The sequence below is a fragment of the Homo sapiens genome, chromosome 12 (genome assembly GCF_000001405.40).
Source record: "Homo sapiens chromosome 12, GRCh38.p14 Primary Assembly".
NCBI lineage: Eukaryota > Metazoa > Chordata > Mammalia > Primates > Hominidae > Homo > Homo sapiens.
In genome coordinates this window covers 92,949,671-92,974,568 of record NC_000012.12, presented here as the reverse complement: position 1 = coordinate 92,974,568, position 24,898 = coordinate 92,949,671, and the positions used below count along the sequence as shown (strand labels likewise).

At 42.8% G+C, this 24,898-nt stretch overlaps 1 pseudogene, besides 6 other annotated features; it reads right to left on the bottom strand.

Moving 5' to 3' along the window:
- Window positions 555-824: an enhancer, noted in NCBI's record as "active region_6758". NCBI's record gives its function as "activates an Ori minimal core promoter by ATAC-STARR-seq in GM12878 lymphoblastoid cells {active_cell/tissue: GM12878}" and the evidence as "EXISTENCE:reporter gene assay evidence [ECO:0000049][PMID:35858748]".
- Window positions 555-910: a biological region, named in NCBI's record as "MPRA-validated peak1891 silencer".
- Window positions 710-910: a silencer, noted in NCBI's record as "peak1891 fragment used in MPRA reporter construct". NCBI's record gives its function as "represses an SCP1 promoter by STARR-seq MPRAs in K562 erythroleukemia cells {active_cell/tissue: K562}" and the evidence as "EXISTENCE:reporter gene assay evidence [ECO:0000049][PMID:32103011]".
- Window positions 3,208-3,257: an enhancer, noted in NCBI's record as "active region_6757". NCBI's record gives its function as "activates an Ori minimal core promoter by ATAC-STARR-seq in GM12878 lymphoblastoid cells {active_cell/tissue: GM12878}" and the evidence as "EXISTENCE:reporter gene assay evidence [ECO:0000049][PMID:35858748]".
- Window positions 3,738-3,807: an enhancer, noted in NCBI's record as "active region_6756". NCBI's record gives its function as "activates an Ori minimal core promoter by ATAC-STARR-seq in GM12878 lymphoblastoid cells {active_cell/tissue: GM12878}" and the evidence as "EXISTENCE:reporter gene assay evidence [ECO:0000049][PMID:35858748]".
- Window positions 9,773-10,330: an enhancer, noted in NCBI's record as "NANOG hESC enhancer chr12:93358015-93358572 (GRCh37/hg19 assembly coordinates)". NCBI's record gives its function as "activates a minimal SCP1, AML or CMV promoter by ChIP-STARR-seq in naive H9 embryonic stem cells {active_cell/tissue: H9 hESC(naive)}" and the evidence as "EXISTENCE:reporter gene assay evidence [ECO:0000049][PMID:30033119]".
- On the bottom strand, window positions 21,831-21,929 carry RNU6-1329P (RNA, U6 small nuclear 1329, pseudogene; annotated as a pseudogene).

Genomic DNA, 24,898 nt, shown 5'->3' with positions numbered 1-24,898 from the left:
GACCTGCAATTATTAAATTCCTTCTTTGCTTTATAAATCTGCTGTTCTGAGTGCATTCGCTTTTCTGGACAGCAGGCAAGAGGAACCCATTAGGTGATTACACTGAGGTAGTAGATAAACATGAGGGCAAAATAATAGAATAATGAAAAAACTTTAAAAAAGGAAAAGAAGGGGAATGAGATGTCCACAGGGGGCTTTGACATGCTGTGATAGATTCCTGGGAGTCTAGAAAGCAATACCAATAAAGCCGGGCACGGTGGCTCATGCTTGTAATCCCCAGCACTTTGGGAGGCCAAGGTGGGCAGATCATCTGAGGTTGGGAATTCGTGACCAGCCTGACCAACATGGAGAAACCCATCTCTACTAAAAATACAAAATTAGCCGGGCGTGGTGGTGCATGCCTGTAATCCCAGCTACTCAGGAAGGCTGAGGCAGGAGAATCACTTGAGTCTGAGAGGCAGAGATTGAGGATTGAGGTGAGCTGAGATTGTGCCACTGCACTCCAGCCTGGGCAACAAGAGCGAAACTCGGTCTCAAAAAAAAAAAAAAAAAAAAAAAGAAAGCAATACAAATGAGTAGAACTATATGCATGCCCAGGGCTGTGTACAAGTTCAGGAAAGAATTGAGAAGGCCCTGAACTCTCACCTCTGGCTGATCTTGAAACTATATTAGCAGGAAGTGAATGCTAAGTCAGAGTTGAAAACTGCCTGGCTGAGTGTTAAAGGCAAGTTCCAACATGCACATAGAGCTCCTTAGCAAAGACTGAGAGACTTACAAGTTCCAGTCAGTTAAGAAAATTGCAGTCCAACCATTACCTAACCATATTTCGCAATTGACAACTTATGTCTACATGTACAAATATGGACATAGATGTTCATAGCAGGTGGGAACAGTGGCTCACAGTTCCCCAATCTTAGCACTTTGGGAAGCCAACACAGGAGGAAAGCTTGAGACCAGGATTTCGAGGCTGCAATGAGCTATGGCCATGCCACTGCACTCCAGCCTGGGCAACAGAGTGAGAGCCTGTCTTAAATAAATAAATAAATAAATAAAATAACATGGGCTGGGCGCAGTGGCTTACACCTGTAATTCCAACACTTTGGGAGGCCGATCTGGGTGGATCACCTGAGGTCAGGAGTTTGAGAGCAGCCTGGCCAACATGGCAAAACCCCGTCTCTACTAAAAATACAAAAATTAGCTGGGCATGGTGGCGCACGCCTGTACCTGCTACTGGTAGGGGCCGAGGCAGGAGAATCACTTGAATCTGGGAGGTGGAGGTTGCACTGAGCCGAGATTGCGCCACTGCACTCCAGCCTGGGTGACAGAGCAAGACTCCATCTCTCAAAAAAAAAAAAAAAAAAAAAAAAAGCAAGAAAAGAAAAGGTCTTTATAAGAAAAAGGTCCCATCCACTCTTCTGTTCAGGAAGGATTAAATCCCATATACCTTCTAGGAGTGACCCTTAATATCTCACACATTCTTTGAGATATATAAACTTTTTTTTTTTTTTTTTGAGACGGGATCTCAGCCCAGGCTGGAGTACAATGGTGCTATCTCACCTCATTGGAGCCTCGACCTCCCAGGCTCAAGCAATCTTTCCATCTCAGTCCCCCGAGTATCTGGGACTACAGGTGCACACCACCATGCATGGCCAGTTTTTGTATTTTTGTAGAGATGGGGTTTTGCCATGTTGCCCAGGCTGATCTTGAACTCCTGAACTCAAGGAATCCTTTTGTGTTGGCCTCCCTAAGTGCTGGGATTACAGGTGTGAACTCACTGTGCCCCACTGTAACAACTTTTTTTCTTCATTAAGCATCCAGATGTCTTGAGTATTTTGAAGTCTCAAACATCCTCCCCCTACCCCACTCATATGAAGAGCATATGACCCAAATGAAGCCAGAAATTTGAATCTAGAACATAAAGACACACAGATAGAAGACTGGGGTTGATGGACACAGCACTGTGGCTCATGCCTGTAATCCCAATACTTTGGAAGGTTGAGGCAGGAGGATTGCTGGGCAATTTAGCGAAATCCTGTCTCTACAAAAAATAAATTTTAAAAAACTAGCCAGGCGTGGTGGCATGCACCTATAGTCCTAGTTGCTCAAGAAGCTGAGGCAAGAGATTTTCTTGAGCCCAGGAGTTCAGGGATGCAGTGAGGCATGATAGGGTTACTGCACTCCTGTCTGGGCAACAGAGCAAGAGCCTGTCTCAAAAAAAAAAGAAGACTGGATTGAGTCATTGAGTCATTTTCTTGGCAGCATCCAAAATGTACTGATTCAGGAATTTCTGGTACTGAAGCCCCTGGAGATCCCCTAGTCTGGTTCTTTTTGAGCCTGATTTGTTCTTTTTGTTGCTTGAATACTGTGTTTTCTTGTATTATTCCAATCAGTTCTTTATTGCTTAAATTAGTCAGAATCTATGTCTGTTGTTTGCAAGCAAAGGACCATAACTGAGATAAGTGACAATGTGAAAGTGGTGCTGTGTTCTGGGCCAGATTCTTTTGAGCTGAGCCTGCTTGCAGACTGTGGGATGACCCAATGCTCCCACAATTTTCTTTAGTAATTCTGCTGTGCAACCTCTGATCTTACTGTGTACAATATGCTGAAATACCACTTGTCCCTCACTTGGTGCAAAAACATTACATTATGTATTATGTTCACATTTGTTTTTTTCTTATGAGTCTGTGTGGATAAAAGTAGTGGTATTGATGCCCATAAGAAACCATTTTGATCATAAAAGTAAATAACATCCTTCAGTTATAAAGTGACCATTCAAATGATCCAAAATATGCTTCTATTAATTTTGACATTATCATTGAATGAAAGCACATGGCTTTAAAAAAAAACAATTTGTGGCAAAGGATTTTCAGATCCTTAAAGGTAGATTGGAGAAATCTTGCCCTGGGTATTAGAGACTATTGTGATACATCTATTTTTCTTAGTTCACAGACTTCATCTTTCTCCCTGATACCTCAGTGATGATCAGGTCCAGGTTTAACAAATGTGTAGCTGAGCGTCATATGTTTAAAAAATTAACATGCAAGGACATGAGCAGAAAATTCACAAAAAGGGAAGTCCAAATAAATGGTCAATAAATACAGGAAAATATGTTTAGTCTCAGTAGTGAGCAAAGATGTTTAATGTATTAGTCAGGATGGTGTAGATAATGCTGCCATAACGCTCAACCCTAAGTCTCAGTGGCTTACAACAAAGAAGTCATATTTTTTGTTCATACTCATCATGCCTTACTTAGAGTCTTTATTCCATGTTGTTCTATCAAACTGAACAGAGTATGTTTATGTTAATCAATTATGGGACCCAGGCCATTTTCTGAAACATTGTTGGTAATCAATTGCAGAAGTGAAAGAGAACTCTGAAAGGTCTTGCTCAACCCAGAAGTGACACATACCATTGCTATTCACAACTCAATGACCAGACCAGGTCACATGGCCCCGCTTAACCTCAAGGGCCATAAAATTAAATCTCTTTTTTGTTTGTTTTTGTTTCTGAGACAGAGTCTCGCTCTGTTGCCCAGGCTGGAGTGCAGTGGTGTGATCTCGGCTCACTGCAAACTCAGCCACCCAGGTTCAAGCGATTCTCGTGCCTCAGCCTCCCTAGTAGCTGGGACTACAAGCATGTGCCACCACGCCCAGCTAATTTTTTTTGTATTTTTAGTAGAAAGGGGGTTTTGCCATGTTGCCCAGGCTGGTCTCAAACTCCTGAGCTCAGGCAATCTGCCTGCTTTAGCCTCCCAAAGTGCTAGGATTACAAGTATGAGCCACCATGCCCAGCTCATAAAATTAAATCTTATCATGTGCTTGGGGGGAGCATTAATGACTATAACATACAATCAAAACAATAAGTTATTATTTTTCAGCTACCAGATTGGCAACTTTAAAAAAATAGCTAAAACGTTTTTTAAACAAAAAAGTTAAAATATAGAGACGGGGGCCGGGCGCGGTGGTTCACGCCTGTAATCCCAGCACTTTGGGAGGCCGAGGCAGGTGGATCATGAGGTTATGAGTTCAAGACCAGCCTGGCCAAGATGGTGAAACCCCATCTCTACTAAAACTACAAAAATTAGCTGGGTGCAGTGGCAGGCGCCTGTAATCCCAGCTACTCAGGAGGCTGAGGCAGGAGAATCGCTTGAACCTGGGTGGCGGACGTTGCAGTGAGCGGAGATCACGCCATTGCACTCCAGCCTGGGCAACAAGAGCAAAAACTCTGTCTCAAAAAAAAAAAAAAAAAAAAAAAAAAAAATATATATATATATATATATATATGGAATGAGAGAGAGAGATGGGGTCTCCGTATGTTGCCTAGGCTGATCTGAAACTCCTGGACTCAAGGGATCCTCCCACCTCAGCCTCCCAAAGTGTTGGGATTATAGATGTAAGCCACTGCACCCAGCCCAGCTAAAATCTTGTCTCATCAAATGTGTATAAACATCTATAAATTGGGAATGAAAGTTTATACGTAATTTCTGGGGGCAATTTGACAGTATACACAAATGCATATGCACACACACACACACAGAGTGCATACTCTTTACCCTGCAATTCCATTTCTAGGAATTCAACCTAAGGAGATATTTATACAATTGTGGAAAGATAAGTTTACAAAAGCATTTATTGAAGCATTTTATATAACAGTTGAAAATGGATACAACCCAGCCGGGCGCGGTGGCTCATGCCTGTAATCTCAGCACTTTGGAAGGCCGAGGTGGGTGAATCACCTAAGGTCAGGAGTTCGAGACCAGCCTGGCCAACATGGTGAAACCTCATCTCTACTAAAAATAGAAAAATTAGCCAGGTGTGATGGCGCATGCCTGTAATCCCAGCTACTTGGGAGCCTGAGGCAGGAGAGTCGCTTGAACCCAGGAGGCAGAGGTTGCAGTGAGCTGAGATCACGCCACTGCACTCCAGCCTGGGCGACAGTGAGACTCTGTCTCAAAAAAAAAAAAAAAAAGAAGAAAATGGATACAACCCATAAATGCAACAGTAGAGTAATGACCAAACAGCTTGTGCCATATCTGTTAGATTAAATATTATGGAGCCATTAAAATTATGCTAGCAAAGGCTGAGCATGGTGGCTTACACCTGTAATCCCAGCAGTTTGGGAGGCCGAGGTGAGCAGATCACTCACTTGAGGTCAGGAGTTCAAGACCAGCCTGGCCAAGATGGTGAAACCTCATTTCTACTAAAAATACAAAAATTAGTGCATGGTGGCAGGCACCTGTAATCCCAGCTACTCGGAAGGCTGAAGCAGGAGAAACCCTTGAACAGAGGTCGAGTCGGAAGGCTGAAGCAGGAGAAACCCTTGAACAGAGGTCGAGGTGCCTCAAGAAACCCTTGAGGCAGTGAGCCGAGATCGTGCCACTGCACTCCAGCCACAGCAACAGAGTAAGATGCTGTCACCCCCACAACACACACAAAAAGAATTATGCTAACAAAGTGATATGTTTATTCTATAATTTTAAATGCCAAAGCAGTCTAGCAGTCTATGTGCATTCAGTGTAACTTCTTGCTGCACTCTGCAAGTGCAAGTGAAAAAAAGCACCAAGGAGTTCTCCCTAATTGATTCTTTCCTGATAATTGGAGGTTATCACAATTCATTCAACAGAATCTGTACATTCACAATTAAGAACCTCAACCAGGACTGCCCTTCCATGGGTAACACATTGTGCTATTTTATAGCTCAGCTCTCCACCATCCACAGAAGCTACCCTGGGAGCAAGATGGTGGGCGTTGTCTCTTCACAGAGTGCTTCCACTTTCCTAGAAGCTCATTTATGCTCAAGACTAGGAAATAAATAAAAGTACTGACTCTGTTCTTCACAATCCTTTTTATGGTTGAGTTTTCCTTCCCCAAAGAACCATCTCCTGTTTTCTATGGATTAGCAAAGTGCCCTGATCTTCTCATGCTGATTCATTTCCTCCCTTCCTTCCTGCCTCCCTCCCTCCTTTCCTCCCTCCCTTCCTTTTTCGTTTCCTTCAAAGAAACATTTATGAGCAGTTTAAGTCTCAGGCACTATGTCCAGTGCTAGGAATGCTCCCAATGAACAAGACACTATCTCTGTTCCCATGGAGCATATTATTTCTTGGAGAAAAGAAGGAAAACAGCAATTGCAATATATCCCTGTGGCAAACACTTCTGAAATGGCCCAAATGATCACTGCTTCCTGGTATTCATGTCCTTGTGTGATCCCCCTCTCCTGAGTGTTGACTCAACTTATGACTTGCTATTAACAAATAGAATATGGTAGAGTGATAGGATGTCATTTTGAGATTAGGTAATAAAAAGACTCACTTCCATCATGGGTCCCCACTCCCCAGCGCTTGCTCTGGGGGAAGCAAGCTGCCATGTGCTCCACCAATATGTTACACGACTGGTGTCATTTGTCAGAAAGGGAAGGTAATTGTAAAACTAATCACAACGAAAGCAAAACAGTGTTATTAAATCCTAATAAGACAGGATTGTCTACTGAAAGCTCTGAGCCTAAGGCTTCCTTGCACCTTCTCTCTCTGTCATTCTTTAGAAGAGAAGTGGTTTAATTTGTGCAGCACCAATAAAAAACAAAAAACAAACAAACAAAAAAAGAGAAGTGGTTAAAAGAAAAAAAAAAGTAGCAGTACCAAATCAAAATTTTCTTCTTGATGTAATCAGAAGGATTAAAGAGAATTTGGAAAGAAATCACAGGATAACTATTTTAGCTATTGCTGTGTCTATATACTACTAAAACTCATCTCATTTGTGAGGCACTTTGAAAACACTGGCCTACACTAACCAGCCAAGACCCTCAGCCACAAAGATGGATTTTTTATTTGTCAAGGAAAGCTTCCTTCTTAGCCAGAGTAAGCTGCTTTTTCAAACCAGACCTAAGACAATAGTTCTGTACCTGAATGCATGGCACAGTACTATTCCATGAATTTTTATGGTGTGTTGACAAATTTTAATCAGTATATAAATTTGACATCCCCCTTCCAGCTGAGGATACACATTTTTATGTATGTGTGACAGAAGGCTCTATAGAGTGAGTTGGGAAAAGTGTATCCCACTCTCCATCCTTATTAGTCAGGGTTCTCTAGGGGGACAGGACTAATAGGATAAATGTATAAATGAAACGGAGTTTATGAAGGAGTATTGACTCACACGATCACAAGGTGAGTCCCACAATAGACTGTCTGCAAGCTGAAGAGCAAGGAAGCCAGTCCAAGTCCCAAAACCTCAAAAGTAGGGAAGCTGACAATGAAGTCTTCAGTTTGTAGCCGAAAGCCTGAGAGCCCCTGGCAAACCACTGGTGTAAGTCCAAGAGTCCAAAAGCCAAAGAAGTTAGAGTCTGATGTTCGAGGGCAGGAAGCATCCAGCATGGGAGAAAGATGGAGGCCAGTCTAGCCATTCCATGTTCTTCTGCCTGCCTTTTTTTTTTTTTTTTTGGAGACTGAGTCTCACTCTATTGCCCAGACTGGAGTGCAGTGGTGCGATCTCGGCTCACTTCAACCTCCGTCCCCCGGATTCAAGTGATTCTCCTGCCTCAGCCTTACGAGTAGCTGGGATTACAAGTGCCCACCACCATGCCTGGCTAATTTTTGTATATTTACTACAGACGGGGTTTCAGCATGTTGGTCAGGCTGGTCTTTAACTGACCTCAGGTGATCTGCCCACCTTGGCCTCCCAAAGTGCTGGGATTACAGGCAAGAGCCACTGTGCCCAGCCCTTCTACTTGCTTTATCCTAGCCATGCTGTCAGCTGATTAGATGGTGCCCACCCAGATTGATGGCGGGTCTGTCTCTCCCAGTCCACTGACTCAAATATTAATCTCCTTTGGCAACACCCTCACAGAGGCACCCAGGAACAATACTTTGCATCCTTCAATCCAATCAAGTTGACACTCAGTATTAACCGTCACACCATCCTTAAGAAATATCACCTTTCTAAACTACTTTAAATTTCATATGGAACCAAAAAGAGCCCGTATAGCCAAGACAATCTTAAGCAAAAACAACAAAGCTGGAGGCATCATGATACCTGACTTCAAACTGTACTACAAGGCTACAGTAACCAAAACAGCATGATACCGGTACCAAAACAGATATATAGAACAATGGAACAGAACAGAGACCTCAGAAAAACACCACACATCTACAACCATCTGATCTTTGACAAACCTGACAAAAACAAGCAATGGAGAAGGATTCCCTATTAAGTAAATGGTGCTGGGAAAACAGGCTAGCCCTATGCAGAAAACAGGAACTGGACCCCTTCCTTATACCTTATACAAAAATTAACTTAAATGTAAAACCTAAAACCATAAAAACCCTAGAAGAAAACCTAGGCAATACCATTCAGGATGTAGGCATGGGTAAAGACTTTATGACTAAAACACCAAAAACAATGGCAACAGAAACCAAAATTGACAAATGGGATCTAATTAAACTAAAAAGCTTCTGCACAGCAAAAGAAACTATTATCAGAGTAAACAGGCAACCTACAGAATGGGAGAAAATTTTTGCAATCTTTCCTTCTGACAAAGGTCTAATATCCAGAATCTACAAGGAACTTAAACAAATTCACAAGAAAAAACAACCCCATCAAAAAGTGGGCAAAGGATATGAACAGACACTTCTCAAAAGAAGACATTTATGTGGCCAACAAACATATGAAAAAAAGCTCATTGTCACTGGTCATTAGAGAAATGCAAATCAAAACCACAGTGAGATATCATCTCACGCCAGTTAGAATGGCAATTATTAAAAAGTCAGGAAACCACAGATGTTGGCGAGGCTGTGGAGAAATAGGAATACTTTTACACTGTTGGTGGGAGTGTAAATTAGTTCACCCATTGTGGAAGACAGTGTGGCAATTCCTCAAGGATCTAGAACCAGAAATACAATTTGACCCAGCAATTCCATTACTGGGTATATATCCAAAGGATTATATGTCATTCTACTATAAAGACACATGCACACGTATATTTATTACAGCACTGTTTACAATAGTAAAGACTTGGAACCAACCCAAATGCCCATCAATGATAGACTGGATAAGGAAAATGTGGCACACATACACCATGGAATACCATGCAGCCATAAAAAAGAATGAGTTCATGTCCTTTGGAGGGACATGGATGAAGCTGGAAGCCATCATTCTCAGCAAACTAACACAGGAACAGAAAACCAAACACTGCCTGTTCTCACTCATAAGTGGGAGTTGAACAATGAGAACACATGGACACAGGGAGGGGAGCATCACACACCGGGGCCTTTTGGGGTGTGGGGGTTAAGGGGAGGGGGAGCATTAGGACAAATACCTAATGCATGCAGGGCTTAAACCTAGATGATGGGTTGATAAGAGCAGCAAAACACCATGGCACATGTATACCTGTGTAACAAAACTGCACATTCTACACATGTATCCCAGAAGTTAAAGTCAAATTAAAAAAAAAAAAAAAAAACAGAAAGCAAAACAAAAAGCAACTCCCAAACCAGCAAAAATAAATAACATATTATTTAAGAGAAAAAAAAAAAGAAAGAAAAGAAATATCACCTTTCTATGGGAACAGTGAACTGGAACACTAGTCAGGGCAATCTACACTCAAAGGCTGATACAATAAAGAACGACCAAGTGAGTGGTCAAACAGTTTTCAATTTTCTAAAACTTGCTATCTAAAAACCACCATTCACCTGTAGACAAAAAGAGTCGAACTCTGTAAAATATTTGAAGAGATTTATTCTGAGCCAAATATGAGTGACCATGGCCCGTGACACAGCCCTCAGAACATGCGAGAACATGTGCCCAAGGAGGTCAGGGCACAGCTTGGTTTTATACATTTTAGAGAGGCATGAGACATCAATCAAATATATTTAAGAAATACGTTGGTTTGGTCCAGAAAGGTGGAACAACTCAAAGTGGGAGCTGTAGGTGAATTTAAACATTTTCTGGTTAACAATTGGTTGAGTTTGTCTAAAGACCTGGGATAAACAGAAAGGGGATGTTCAGGTTAAGATAACAGACTGTGGAGACCAAAGTTCTTTTGAAGTCTTATAGTGGCTGCATTTAGAGACAATAGGTGACAAATGTTTTCTATTCAGATTTTAGTTAATCTCTTTAGGATTGGGAGGGTCTGGAAGAAAAAGATCTAGCTATATTAATAGAGATTCTTTACAGATGCAAATTTCCCCCCACAAAGAACAGCTTTGCAGGGCCATTTCAAAATATGACAAGAAACATGTTTTGGGGGTAAAATATTTTGATTTTCTTCTTTGTCTCCTAATGTTATGCCAGAGTCAGGTTGGAAAGTAAATCATGATATATAGGGTTGAATAAAACCCATCTGATGAGAATTTATGATTTGTAGGGCATGACTCCCCAGACCTCTTAGATAGGAATTTGGGCAAGATTAAAAAAATTAGAGGTTAGTCCTCACCAAAAGCACTTGGATAGCGCTTATGAACTAGCCAAACTTCTAGAATTCAAAAATGTGGCTAATCCTCCCATTTTCGGGTTGACGTCAAATCCTAACGTATGAAAAGGGTCATAGTTCAGAGATTAATGGTCAGACTCATTCCACTAGCAACCAAATCAAATTTCAGAATTCTTGCAATCACAGTTGTGCTTTTATGGGAACAAATATTTCTTATTCATTTGTTTTGCCGAGGCAATAAAACATGACTAGTGATTGGCAGTGATAATATTTTCTCTGAAAAACTTCCTGATGTGCAACTTGATCTTTTTTTTTTCTTTTCTTTTCTAAAATATATTATGGAAACATTTTGAGCTTGTAAATGATTTGTTCCAAGTGCCAATAGAGAATAGCATTTCCGACCGGGTGCGGTGGCTCTCGCCTGTAATCCCAGCACTTTGGGAGGCTGAGGCCTGTGGATCACGAGGTCAGGAGTTCGAGACCAGTTTGGCCAACATGGTGAAACCCCGTCTCTACTAAAAATACAAAAATTAGCTGGGCGTAGTGGCAGACACCTGTAATCCCAGCTACTTGGGAGGCTGAGGTAGGAGAATCGCTTGAAACCGGAAGGCGGAGGTTGCAGTAAGCCCAGATCACGCCACTGCACTCCAGCCTGGGCAACAAGAGCAAAACTCCATCTCAAAAAAAAAAAAAAAAAAGAGAGAATATAATTTCCTAAAAAAACAATGGTTTCCTCTCTCAGAATTCTGGAATCTGCCTGATATATTTCTGGACAAATGAAACCAAACAGCATAGTCATACCCTGGAAGAGCAGAGGTTGGAAAAGAGGTGTAAAGGGCATAGTTGGGAGTGAAATTTTGTGCATAAGAACAGAAGAAGAAGGTACAAGGTTAGAAATTTTAATTATGCTTTTCTCCTTCACTGCAGAATTGGGCCATGTTTAAGTACCTGGAGTAAGCTTGGCAAAAAATCACTTGCTTCCCCATGCTGCTGTGTTCTACAGAACTTTCTGTCCACATTACGGTCTTACTGAATGGCCTATTTTGTAAACCAAATGCCACAGTATTTCCACATATCTAAATTCAAAGAAATATGCTGACCTAAAGTATGAAAATCCATTGAAATATCAGACAAAATTTTTTCTTGTTTAAATTTTAAGGGATACTTGCTTATCCTTGCCAAAATGATTTTAATTCAGTATGTAACTTGGATTGAAATGTTTGAATCCTGGGCAGGAAAACAATAAAAGCTATGAGAGTTACCAAAACAAAACAAAACAAAAACAAACAAACAACAAAAAAAAATAGGCATGGTGGCTCACATCTGGAATCCCAGCAATTTGGGAAGCTGAGGCAGGAGAATCACTTGAGGCCAGGGGTTTCTGATCAGCCTGGGCAAACATAGTGAGATCCCATCTATATTAAAATTTTTTAAAGTTTTTTTTTTAAAAAAAGTAAGTCAGCCGGGCACGGTGGCTTATGCCTCTAATCCCAGCACTTTGGGAGGCTGAAGTGGGCAGATCACCTGTGGTCAGGAGTTTGAGACCAGCCTGGCCAACATAGTGAGACCCCGTCTCTACTAAAAATACAAAAATTAGCCAGGTGTGGTGGCACATGCCTGTAATCCCAGCTACTTGGGAGGCTGAGGTAGGAGAATTGCTTGAACCCAGGAGGTGGGGGTTGCAATGTGCCGAGATCATGCCACTGCACTCCAGCCTGGGTGACAGACAGAATGAGACTCCGTCTCAAAAAAAAGAAAAAGATTTGTGCATTATCATTTTTTGACCTCAAAGAAGGAGATTTCAATGAAGCAAAACAATTTTTTTATTTGCTTAAAAGTTCAAATCAATAAAAATTATATTTAATCGAGACATTAATAACCGAGGAAAAAGGACAGATGTCATTATCTAGTAGGTCAGCCTCAAGGCATGCAGGGACCTGGTGCCTGGCTGGTGGGGAGAAAGTAGTGGTTGGAGCCAGGATGGGGCACATGACATGACTATGACTCAGACCCGCAAGGATGCTAGCAGGTGGTCCAATTTGGTGTTCAAAGGGAAGTGGCAGACTTGACATAAATGTATCCAATGCTAATATCTAAGAGAGTCCAGTTTACAGTTGAAGCATGTCAGTAAAGGCCTCCATGAAGAGGTAATGCCTCAAATTAGCATGGAACTTGCTTATGAATCTTCATCTTTTTATTATTTTATTTTATTTTATTTTGAGGCTAAGTCTCTCTCTGTCATTCAGGCTGGAGTGCAGTGGTGTGATCTTGGCCCTTTGCAACCTCCGCCTCCCGGGTTTAAGCAATTCTCTTCCCGCAGCCTCCCAAGTAGCTGGGATTACAGCTGTGCGCCCCCAGGCCATGCTAGTTTTTGTATTTTTAGTACAGACGGGGTTTCACAATGTTGGTCAGGCTGGTCTTGAACTCCTAACCTCAAGTGATCCACCCGCCTCGGCCTCCCAAAGTGCTGGGATTACAAGGGTGAGCCACCACTCCTGGCCTGTTCATCTTTTTAGAGTAGAGCCCTAGACAGCAATTGGGGATTAGTAGAGAGTCTCTAGGCCCCCAGGAAGGGGAATGCTAAGACTTCACAGGGCTCTAGTTGGGTAGAGCTGGGTTTTAGCTCTTGAGGCAGAAGTTCAATAGTTCAATTACATAGACTAGCCTCCCATAGTGAGATTTAGGAGAGTATTATAACTCAGTGGATCCAATACAGGGATCACAGATACTGTGTCTACAGAAAAACAGCTATTTCCAGAACACACCCACTTATAAAGGTGGACTTCAGTGACCCAACTTAGAAGGTAGGAGCTAACGTTAACATTAGGAAACCAGGCAACGTTGTCATGGCAAGTAGCATCAGCCATACTCATTGAGGGTGTGCCCAACTGGCAGCCCTGTATTTGATTTCTTGGAAAGGAAGTGTAAAAAAATGTATAGACTCCCAAATGGCCAAGAAACAAATGAACGATGCAAGCTGGAGAACCTGGAAAGCCAGTGATATAATTCAGTCGAGGCCAAAGGCTTGAGAAGCAGAGAAGCCAGTGGTGCAAATCCCAGTCCAAGACTGATGGACTGAGAACTGGGACGGGGTGGTGGGAACCCTGGTGCAAGTCCTAGAGTCCAAAGGCCTGAGAACGAGGAATTCTGATGTCCAAGGACAAGAGAAGATAGATGTCCTGGCTCAAGAAGAGAAAGTGATGTCACCCCTCCTCTGCCTTTTTGTTTCGTTTGTGCTCTGAACAGTCACACTGGTGAAGGCAGATCTTCTTCACTCCGTTACTGATTCAAATGGTACCACTCTCACAGACACATCCAAAAATGATGTTTTACTGGCTATCCTAGTATCTGTTAGCTCAGTCGAGTTGACTCATATAATTAACCATCACAGTGTACTTATCCAAAATAAAATGAGGGATTAGTAGAAAAGGAAAGGGAATGGTGAGTGACTAAAAGTCAACAGCCAGGTGCGGTGGCTCACGCCTGTAAACCCAGCATTTTGGGAGGCCGAGGGTTGGTGGATCACCTGAGGTCGGAAGTTGGAGACCAGCCTGACTAACATGGAGAAACCCCATCTCTACTAAAAGTACAAAAAAAGTAGCTGGGCGTGGTGGTGCATGCGTGTAATCCCAGCTACTCGGGAGGCTGAGGTAGGAGAGGAGGAGGAGGTTGCAGTGAGCCGAGATCGCGTCATGCATTCCAGCCTGGGCAACAAGAGCGAAACTCCATCTCAAAAAAAAAACAAATTTCTACTACATGTTTTCTTTTTTTTCTTTTCTTTCTTTCTCTTTTCTTTTCTCTCTTTTTTTTTTTTTTTTTTTTTTTTTGAGCTGGAGTCTCTCTCTATTGCCCAGGCTGGAGTGCAATGGTGCAATTTTGGCTCACTGCAACCTCCGCCTCTCATATTCAAGTGATTCTCCTGCTTCAGCCTCCTGAGTAGCTGGGACTACAGGCACCTGCCACCACCACACCCAGTTAATTTTTGTACTTTTAGTAGAGACAGGATTTCACCATGTTGACCAGGCTGGTCTCAAACTGCTGATCTCAGGTGATCCACTCGCCTCAGCCTCCCAATGTGCTGGGATTACAGGCGTGAGCCATCACGCCCAGGTTTTTTTTTTTTTTTTTTTTTTCCTGAGACTGAGTCTGGCCCTGTTGCCCAGGCTGGAGTGCAATGGCACGGTCTTGGCTCACTGCAACCTCCACCTCTCATGTCCAAGTGATTCTCCTGCCTCAGCCGCCCGAGTAGCTGGGATTACAGGCACCCACTACCACAGCCTGACTAATTTTTGTATTTTTGGTAGAGACAGGGTTTCATCATGTTGGCCAGATTGGTCTCGAATTCCTGACCTCAGGTAATCTGCCTGCCTCGGCCTCCCAAAGTGCTGGGATTAAGGCGTGAGCCACCGTGCCCGGCCTCTACTACATATTTTCTAAGAACAAACTATATTGCATTAATCTAATTGCCTGTGGTTGGTAAAACTAGGGAATGGCATAGATGAACTGTATCATTGATTCATTGTTCATGTTTAGTTTATTTCTAAATATTCAATACTGGCCAGTGAACACAAGGCAGGGTATGCAAATCACATCAATTGCCAACTTTGAACTTTATTTTTTATTTACTTATTTGTTTTTGAGATGCAGTCTCGCTATGTCACCAAGGCTGGAGTGCAGAGGCACAGTCATGGATCATTGCAGCCTCAAACTTCTGGGCTCAGGTGATCCTCCTGCTTTAACCTCCCAAGTAGCTGTTACTATAGCATGTGGCACCAGGCCTGCTAATGTTTTGAAAAACAAATTTTTTGTAGCGATGACGGGGGGGTCTCACCATATTGCCCAGACTGATCTTGAACTTCTGGCCTCAATCGATCTTCCTGCCTCAGCCTCCCAAAGTGCTGAGATTACAGGTATGAGCCACTGCAACTTACCTGCTTCAAACTTTAAATAGTTTGCACTTGGGATAAAATACAAAATCCCTAATGTGGCCTCTAAGGCCCCACAGCCCCTGGGCCCTGACCCTCCCCCATCACTCACTCCTTGCCCAATGTATTCCAGGTCCAGTTGCCCCCAGCTTCCCATGTGGTGCCCCATATGGCAGGCACATTCCTCTTTTCACTCAAAGCCTGAATAACCGGAATAGCTCCTAGTTGTGGGCCTCAAGTTAAATGTTGGTTCCTCAAAGAAGCTTTGCTAAATCCTCAGTTTGATTCTGCCTCTCCTATTGTTCTAGCCCCTGGAACCCTGGTCTCTTCCTTCATAATACAACTTGCAATCTTCTATTTTTCCTGTTGATTTAGATAATGACTGTCTTCCTCAGATGCCAGCAACCCTTCCAAAATTTAAGGACCACACCTACTTTGTTCAATTTTAAATGTAATATCTAACACAGACCTTGATCAGTATGGGCATACAAGAAAGCCTGTTCAATGAGGATTCCAAAATGAATATGAACTCAATTTATATGGAGTGAATATTTTAGGGGCAAGAAATTAAAATGATCAATGTGATCAGTGCAATATAGTCATATAAAATACCAGAGGGGACCAGGCACGGTGGCTCACATCTGTAATCCCAGCAGTTTGGCAGGCCAAGGCGGGTGGATCACCAGAGGTCGGGAGTTCGAGACCAGCTTGACCAACATGGTGAAACCCCATCTGTACTAAAAATACAAAATTAGCCAAGTATGGTGGCACACACTTGTAATCCCAGCTACTTGGGAGGCTGAGGCAGGAAAATCGCTTGAACCCGGGAGGCAGAGGTTGCAGTGAGCCGAGATCATGCATTGCACTCTAGCCTGGGTGACAGAGTAAGACTCTGTCTCAAAAAATAAAATAGGCCGGGTGCAGTGGCTCATGCCTGTAATCCCAGCACTCTGGGAGGCTGAGGCGGGCAGATCACCTGAGGTCGGGAGTTCGAGACCAGCCTGGCCAGCATGGTGAAACCCTGTCTCTATTAAAAATACAAAAATTAGACAGGTGTGGTGGCAGGCACCTGTAATCCCAGCTACTCTGGAAGCTGAGACAGGAGAATTGCTTGAACCCAGGAGGCGGAGGTTGCAGTGGGCAGAGATCATGCCATTGCACTCCAGCCTGGGCAGCAGAGTGAGACTGTCTCAAAAGAATAAACAAACAAACAATAAATAAATAAAAAAAATATAAAACAAAATAAAATACCATAGGAACACCCTGAAGAGAAGGGTTACTTTGGCCATGAGGCAATTTCTCATCTCCTTCCATGTCCTTGTAGATTACTTCAAGGGACTGAAATGAAGGAAGGGTGACAGCACCACATGGCAAATTCACAGCAGGTTGAACGATATTCCCATGCAATGGAGGGAGAAGGGGGAGGGCAATTCAAGGGATGCAGCCTCTATGTGAGCCCCACAAGACCATGGCTGTGACCCTCTCTGCAGCATCTGTATCCAAGACTCAAGACTTACACAAAGATTAACTCTGCTGCATGTGACACAGAATTGAGAATGACTGAAGTACTGTCTTGCCCTGAAATTCTATTTCTACAAGTTTGCTTTAAACATGCATTCTACGTTGTATTTCTTAATGGAACATTTCCTTTCTATTAATTACCATGTCTTTGTGTTTAAATACATTTGTAACTATATTCAAGCGACTTGGTAAATGGAGTTTCCAAGAGAACAAAGCAATGACTTGATTGTCAGGCCTCTGAGCCCCCATCATATCCCCTGTGACCTGCACTTATAAATCCAGATGGCCTGAAGCAACTGAAAAACCACAAAATAATGAAAATAGCCAGTTCCTGCCTTAACTGATGACATTGTGATTTGTTCCTGCCCCACCCTGACTGATCAGTTAGCCTTGTGACATTCCTTCTCCTGGACATTAAGTCTCCGGAGCTCTCCACCGAGCACCTTGTGACCCCCACCCCTGCCTGCAAGAGAACAACCCCCTTTAACTGTAATTTTCCACTACCTACCCAAATCCTATAAAACTGCCCCACCCCTATCTCCCTTTGCTGACTCTTTTTGGACTCAGCCCACTTGCATCCAAGTGAAATAAACAGCCTTGTTGCTCACACAAAGCCTGTTAGTGGACTCTCTTCACACAGAGGGGCATGACATTGATATTCTGGAATGTTAAATATGTTACAAAGTAAATTCATGATGCCAGAGTTAAAAACAAAAACATGACGGGGCTTGGTGGCTCACGCCTGTAATCCCAGCACTTTGGGAGGCCGAGGCAGGCAGATTGCCTGAGGTCAGGAGTTCGAGTCCAGCCTGGCTAACATGGTGAAACCCCATCTCTACTAAAAATACAAAAATTAGCTGGGCGTGGTGGTGGGTTCCTGTAATCCCAGCTACTCAGGAGGGTGAGGCAGGAGAATCACTTGAACCCAGAAGATGGAGGTTGCAGTGAGCCAAGATCGCACCACTGCACTCCAGTCTGGGTGATAGGGCAAGACTCTGTCTCAAAAGAAAAAAAAAAAAAAAAAAACCCAAAAACATATAAACTCTTAACATTCCTTTTTCAAACACAAGCTGTGCTGTCATCCTTTCGATTATTACCATAACATAATTTTAATTAAACTCTTACTTTTATTTCATTTATGTGACTAGGCCTAAAATCAACATTTTAACCACACCATGAAAAAATCATTAGCAATTTATACTCACTCAGTGGTTGAAATGAAGTAGTGAAAACCATTTTGCTTTTCCTCCCTCTCTCCCTTTCTTTCTCCCTCCTTTCCTTTCCCCCCTTTTCCTCTTTTATTCCTCCTTCCTTTCTTCCACAAACATTCATCCTTTTATGAGCCTGAAGCTTTTCTAAGTGCACACATTTGGAAGATATAATACTTAGATTCAAGCATACTTAACCAGCCATGTCCAGAATAAGTTTAATGTGATGCAATTGACCTATTGTAATATCCATCCACACGTCTCACATGTTTTTAAACTCTTATTTTGGCCCATTCATCTTTGAATACTGACTCACCACCATGCAGTTCTTGATTAGATTATTGTTCACCTCTACTCTGAGAGCAAAATAAGAGTGTGCTCAGCTGACTGTAGTGAGTCAGTGGACCCTCTTTTCATTTCCTAATTCCAGTTCTACTTCAGGATTGAATAAGCAATTATCTACACAGCAATTGTAATTAAACCCATTAATTAAAAAAATACACATAGACCTTAACACATCAATTAAAATGGTATAGGTTGTGTCTAACAAAGATGTGAATCAAACAAGTAAATATTTCTATGTACAAAGGCTAAAATAGAAAACAAGACTGAGTATGTTTAACATAGCTGATCTATCACTGTGGACCTGCTTCCATGTCTTCTGCTGTTTTTAGAAATGATTTTTTTTTCTTTTTCTTTTTCTTTTTTTGAGATGGAGTTTCACTCTTGTTGCCCAGGCTGGAGTGCAATGGCACAATCATGACTCCCTGCAACCTATGTCTCCCAGGTTCAAGTGATTCTCCTGCCTTAGCCTCTCGAGTAGCTGGGATTACAGGTGCATGCCACCACGCCCAGCTAATTTTGTATTTTTAGTAGAGATGGAGTTCCTTCATGTTGGTCAGGCTGGTCTCAAACTCTCGACCTCAGGTGATCTGCCTGCCTCGGCCTCCCAAAGTGCTGGGATTACAGGCATGAGCCACCACGCTCTGCCAGAAATTATTTTCTTTTGTTGCTTTTGTTGTTGTTAATATTTGGTAGGCCGCCCAGGTCTTCTAAAATACGGACAAAAGATAAGAATTTGTTAGCTCTTGTATATGATGTTTATTAACATCCCAATGACACATGAAAACATGTCCTGAAGGGTATCATTTATATTTGAGTTTCTCTTGGCTGGGTGCAGTGGCTCACAACTATAATCCCAGCACTTTGGGAGGCTGAGGCAGGAGGATCACTTGAGCTCAGGAGTTCGAGACCAGCCTGGGCAACATGGTGAAATCTCCATCTCTAGTAAAAATACAAAAATTAGCTGGGCATGGTGGTGTCCATCTGTAGTCCAGCTCCTTGGAAGACTGAGGTGGGAGGATTTCTTGAGCCTGGGAGGTTGAGGCTTCAGTGAGCAGTGATCATGCCACTGCACTCCAGCCTGGGTGACAGAACAAGACCCTGTCTCAAAAAAAAAAAAAAAATTATAGTTTCTTTAAGTCATTCATTTTAAAATAAACTAGAAAATTCTGTATGTTTAGCTAAGCTACTTTATAAAATGAAGTCAAGGGGTAAATCTTAACAAACTTGTCTGAATATAGATTAGGACTTTCCTGTTTATTTTTAGGATAATCCTCAGTGGTGCTGACAATGGGTGGGAAGTAGCCCCCATTTTGAAAAGGGTATCTGCACACATGTGCACAGGCCTTACTATGACACAGTCATTCTTTCTCGTCCAGGAATTGTCACTCCCAAAATCCTATAGCGGAGAAGGCTGGTGTTTCATTAAGACAGGTGCATCTTTGGGGGGACTTCACAAAAAGAGAGAACACACTGGCATTTATTCCCTGTTCCACATGGGATGGAGCCAAGTGAAGGGGGACAGTAAGAGCACCCCTTAGAGAATCGAGGGGCTAGCCAGAAACAGGTGAGGGACTTTTACTCCTTGGCCAGATGCCTGCTGGGCTGGAGGAGTGTGTAGGCCTGCCCAGTGCTACTACAGGACTGAAAGGCAATTAAGTTTTGGGGAGAACCTGACAAGGGTCTGATAGAGGCAGGAGGCAGGCAAATGCCTAGGCAGATAGGGGCAGGTCCCTGGTGAAACCCAACCTTCAAGACAGAAACTGTCCTGGGTAAATACTCAGATGGGATTGAGAACCCACCTTCCTGTTTGGTGCACTTTCCTTTGATTGATCCCCACTCTTCACCTATTTTACATATACCTACCTTTTCCTAATTGGTTTTCTACACTGTTGTGCCCACCTTTGAGTGGTGTCTTTGCTATGACCATTTTTGGATACTCACAAACCAATCAGCACACACTCCCTATTCTGAGCCCATAAAAAGCCCCAGGCTCAGCCATATCGGGGAACTTTCCTGTCTTCGGGTAGGAGAACTACCCCCACCTCCTGCCGTGTCCCCTCTTTTTGCTGAAAGCTTTCCTTTCACTTAATAAATTCTACTCCACTCACTGTTTGATGTTTGTGTGCCTAATTCTTCCTGGTCGTGAGACAAGAACCCAGACTTAGCTGAGCTAAGGAGCAAAAATCCTGCATCAGGTCTCCTGGAGTTTGAGGGGGTATAGAGGAACTAGAGTGACCTCTAGTGACAGGGCAAGTACACAGGGTTGCTGTGGCAGCAATTACACCACCATTGTTTGACTGGGCAAGAATGCATAAGGTTATCCATGAACCACGGGGACACTGTGGAGACTGTTCACCAGATGGAGTAAAAGGACAGATCATGTACCATTTCCTCAATGCTGGTCCTGCCTGTCAGCTGTCATAGAAGACAGGGGAGGAATAGGGATGAGAAGAGAGGACAGGAGATTTAAATTGGATGAGAAATTAAAGTTTAATATAGACTGAACTAGAATTTTCCATAGCTGAAAATGAGACTCTTCTCACATCTGAGAATGGCCCCAAAGCTAAGAGATCTCCCTGAAATGTCATCTGGGGCAAAGAAGGGAGATCTGCTTGCTTGAAGGTAGCAGTAGATAAGAAAAAGTAGTTTACTGATTATAATAACCAATTCAGCACATTCAATAAATTAGTTACACAGTTTATTTTAAAAGTAAGCTACTGTACCACCTATGGTCTAACCTTGCATATATATATAAAACCCACAAAGAAAAAATAAAAACAAATTAAAAAAAAAACTTGAACCTGAATTTAGACTAGCCTCTTCAACAAACTACCAGCTTACTGGAAGTATAGGTGATGGAAAAACCCATTAATGACACCAGGAGAAAACTGTCAGCCCAATTCTGAATGTAAGAAATTCAACAGGACAAACAGCCTTACTTCTTCAATGAACACATAGCAGGTTACAAAGTTAATTCATGATCCCAGAGTTAAAAGCATTAGAAAAGCGAGGAAACACAAGGGAAGGGGAACTGTCATACATTAAAAGAGACTTTAAAAAAAGTTTGTTTTTTTTTTGAGACAGAGTCTCGCTCTGTCGCCCAGTCTGGAGTGCAGTGGTGCGATCTCAGCTAACTACAAGCTCCGCCTCCCGGGTTCACGCTATTCTCCTGCCTCAGCCTCCCGAGTAGCTGGAACTTCAAGCACACGCCGCCACACCCGGCTAATTTTTTGTACTTTTTTTTTTTAGTAGAGATGGGGTTTCACCGTGTGAACCAGGCTGGTCTCAATCTCCTGACCTTGTGATCTGCCCACCTCGGCCTCCCAAAGTGCTGGGATTACTGGCGTGAGCCACCAAGCGTAGACTAAAAAAAATTTTTTTTAATTTTAATTAATGAATTTATTTATTTTGGAACGCTTCACGAATTTGCATGTCATCCTTGAGCAGGGGCCATGCTAATCTTCTCTGTATCGTTCCAATTTTGGTATATGTGCTGCTGACGCAAGCAAAAAACGGACTTAAGAGAATATGTAAAATATGTAATGTCTGCACTGTGTTTGAATTTTTATTTGAACAGCCATAAAAATACTCTTGAGACAATCAAGAAAAGTTAAACTTGGACTGGATGTTAAATATGATTCTTTGGAGGCATGACAATGTTATTGTTATGTTTCTTTTTTCAAGTTCTTAGGCATTAGGGAAGCATACTGAAATATTTACACGTAGAGAAATTTGATGACTGGGATTTGTTTTAAAATACTCCATGATAAAAGAAAAAATTGTGAGAATTTAGGGGGTAAGGGAAGATTCATAAAAAAAGAATGGCAGGGTGTAAATAATTATTGAAGCTGGGCAATAGGTACATATGGCTTTGTTACATTTTTCTTTCTATTTTCACATGTGAAATTTTCCATAATGAAAGGTTTAAAGGCCAGGAACCATGGCTCATGCCTGTAATCCCAGAAATTTGGGAGGCTGAGGTGGACAGATTGCTGGAACTCAAGAGTTTCAAGACCAGCCCGGGCAACATGGTGAAACCCCATCTCTACAAAAAATACAAAAATTAGACAGGTGTGGTGGCACATGCCTGTAGTCCCAACTACTTGGGAGGTTGAGGTGGCAGGATTTCTTGAGCCCAGGAGGGTGAGGCTGCAGAGAGCCATGATCACAGCACTGTACTCCAGCCTGGGCAAGAGAGTAAGACTCTGTCTAGATATCAGATACCTTGATTTTATTTTTTTAAGGTGTGAATGTAATATGGCATAATGAAGTTAACCTCAGTTTTGAATACTGGCTACATCTTTTATCAGCTATATGACTTAGGAAAGTCACTTAACCCTTACAACCTCCATTTTCCCTATTGCCAAATAAGAATTATGATTCCTCTTGGCCGGGCATGGTCGCTCATGCCTGTAATCCCAGCACTTTGGGAGGCCGAGGTGGGCAGATCGCTTCAGATCAGGAGTTTGAGAGCAGACTGGCCAACATGGTGAAACCCCATTTCTACTAAAAATACAAAATTAGCTGGGCATGGTGGTGCATGCCTGTAATCCCAGCTACCCGGGAGGCTGAAGCAGGAGAATGACTTGAACCCGGGAGCAGAGGTTGCAGTGAGCCAGATGGTGCCACTGCACTCCAGCCTGGGTGACAGAGTAAAACTGTGTCTCAAATAATAATAATAATAATAATTCCTCTTGTTGCAATAAAGATTTAATGAAGCAGGGCATGGTGACTCACATCTGTAATCCCAACACTTTGAGAGGCTGAGGTGGGCAAATCATTTGAGGTCAGGAGTTCAAGATCAGCTTGGCCAACATGGTGAAGCCCCGTCTCTACTAAAAATACAAAACTTAGGCAGTGTGGTGACACATGCCTGTAATCCCAGCTACTTGAGAGGCTGAGGCAGGAGAATCTCTTGAACCTAGCAGGCGGAAATTGCAGCAAGCTGAGATTGCACCACTGCATTCCAGCCTAGGCGACAGAGATTCTGTCTCAAAGAAAAAGATTTAATGAAATAATGTGTGTAAAAGGTTTCGCAAAGCACCTGGCAGAGTAAACCTAAGTATTAGCCTAATCAGATTTAATTTTCATTTCTCACTATGTTCTCATTTAGTTTCTTTGTTTTTTGAGATGGAGTCTTGCTCTATTGCCCAAGTTGGAGTGCATTGGCATGATCTCGGCTCACTGTAAACTTCCCCTCCTGGGTTCAAGTTATTCTGCTGCCTCAGCCTCCCGAGTAGCTGGGATTACAGGTACCAGCCACCATGCCTTGCTAATTTTTATTTTTAATAGAGACAGGGTTTCTCCATGTTGGCCAGGCTGGTCTTGAACTCCTGGCCTCAGGTGATCCTCCTGCCGCAGCTGCCCAAAGTGCTGGGATTCCCTTCCCTTCCGTTCCGTTCCCTTCCTTTCCCTTCCCTTCCCTTCCCTTCCCTCCCCTCCCCTCCCATCCTATTGCTTTCTCCCTCCCTCCCTCCCTTCCTCCCTCTTCTCTCCCTCTCTTCCTCCCTCCCTTCCTTCCTTCTTCCTTCCTTCCTGGCTCTTGTTGCCCAGACTGGAGTGCAATGATGCAATCTTGGCTCACCACAACCTCCGCCACCTGGGTTCAAGCAATTCTCATGCCTCGGCCTCCCGAGTGGCTGGGATTATAGGTATGGGCCACCACACCTGGCTAATTTTGTGTTTTTAGTAGAGACGGGGTTTCTCTATGTTGGTCAGGCTGGTCTTGAATGCCTGACCTCAGGTGATTCCCCCTGCCTTGGCCTCCCAAAGTGCTGGGATTATAGGCGTGAGCCGACGCACCTGGCCAAGATTATTGTCAATGTGGGACTACTAGTTGTTTTCCCGTACCCATTCTTCTTTTCTTTCTTGGCAATAGGGTTTTAGTTGGCTACATGCCTGCCTAGCTAAAGACTACATTTCCCAGCTTCCTTAGAAGCTAAATGTGGAAATGTTTTGACCCATGGTATATGCACAGAAGTAATATGTGACATGTCCAGGTTTTGCCCTAAAGAGAACTGGACTTGTGCTCCTCAAGCCTACTTAAGCTCTTCCCATGGCTGAGTGGAGGCTAGAACTGGAACAGCCACCTTGTGTTGGACCAATGGTAGAAGTAGGGCTGCCAGATTTAGCAACTAAAAATACAGAACACCCAGTTACATTTGAATTTCATATAAACAAAGAATACTTTAAGAAAAAAAAATGTATGTCCCATGTCATATTTGAACATAGTGAGGTCCAATATATTGTTAAGTGAGAATAGAACAAGGAGCAGAATTATGTGTATAAACTGGTTAATGATTTATAGGCTAGGTTATGTTTAGGAAAAGAAATCTAGTTTATGTTTAAATATGACCATTCTGGCTGTGATATAAACAATGACTTTTTTATTTTTATTTTTGAGCCAGGGTCTTGCTTTGTTGCCCAGGCTGGAGTGCAATGGTGTGATCATGGCTCACTGCAGCCTTGACCTCCTGG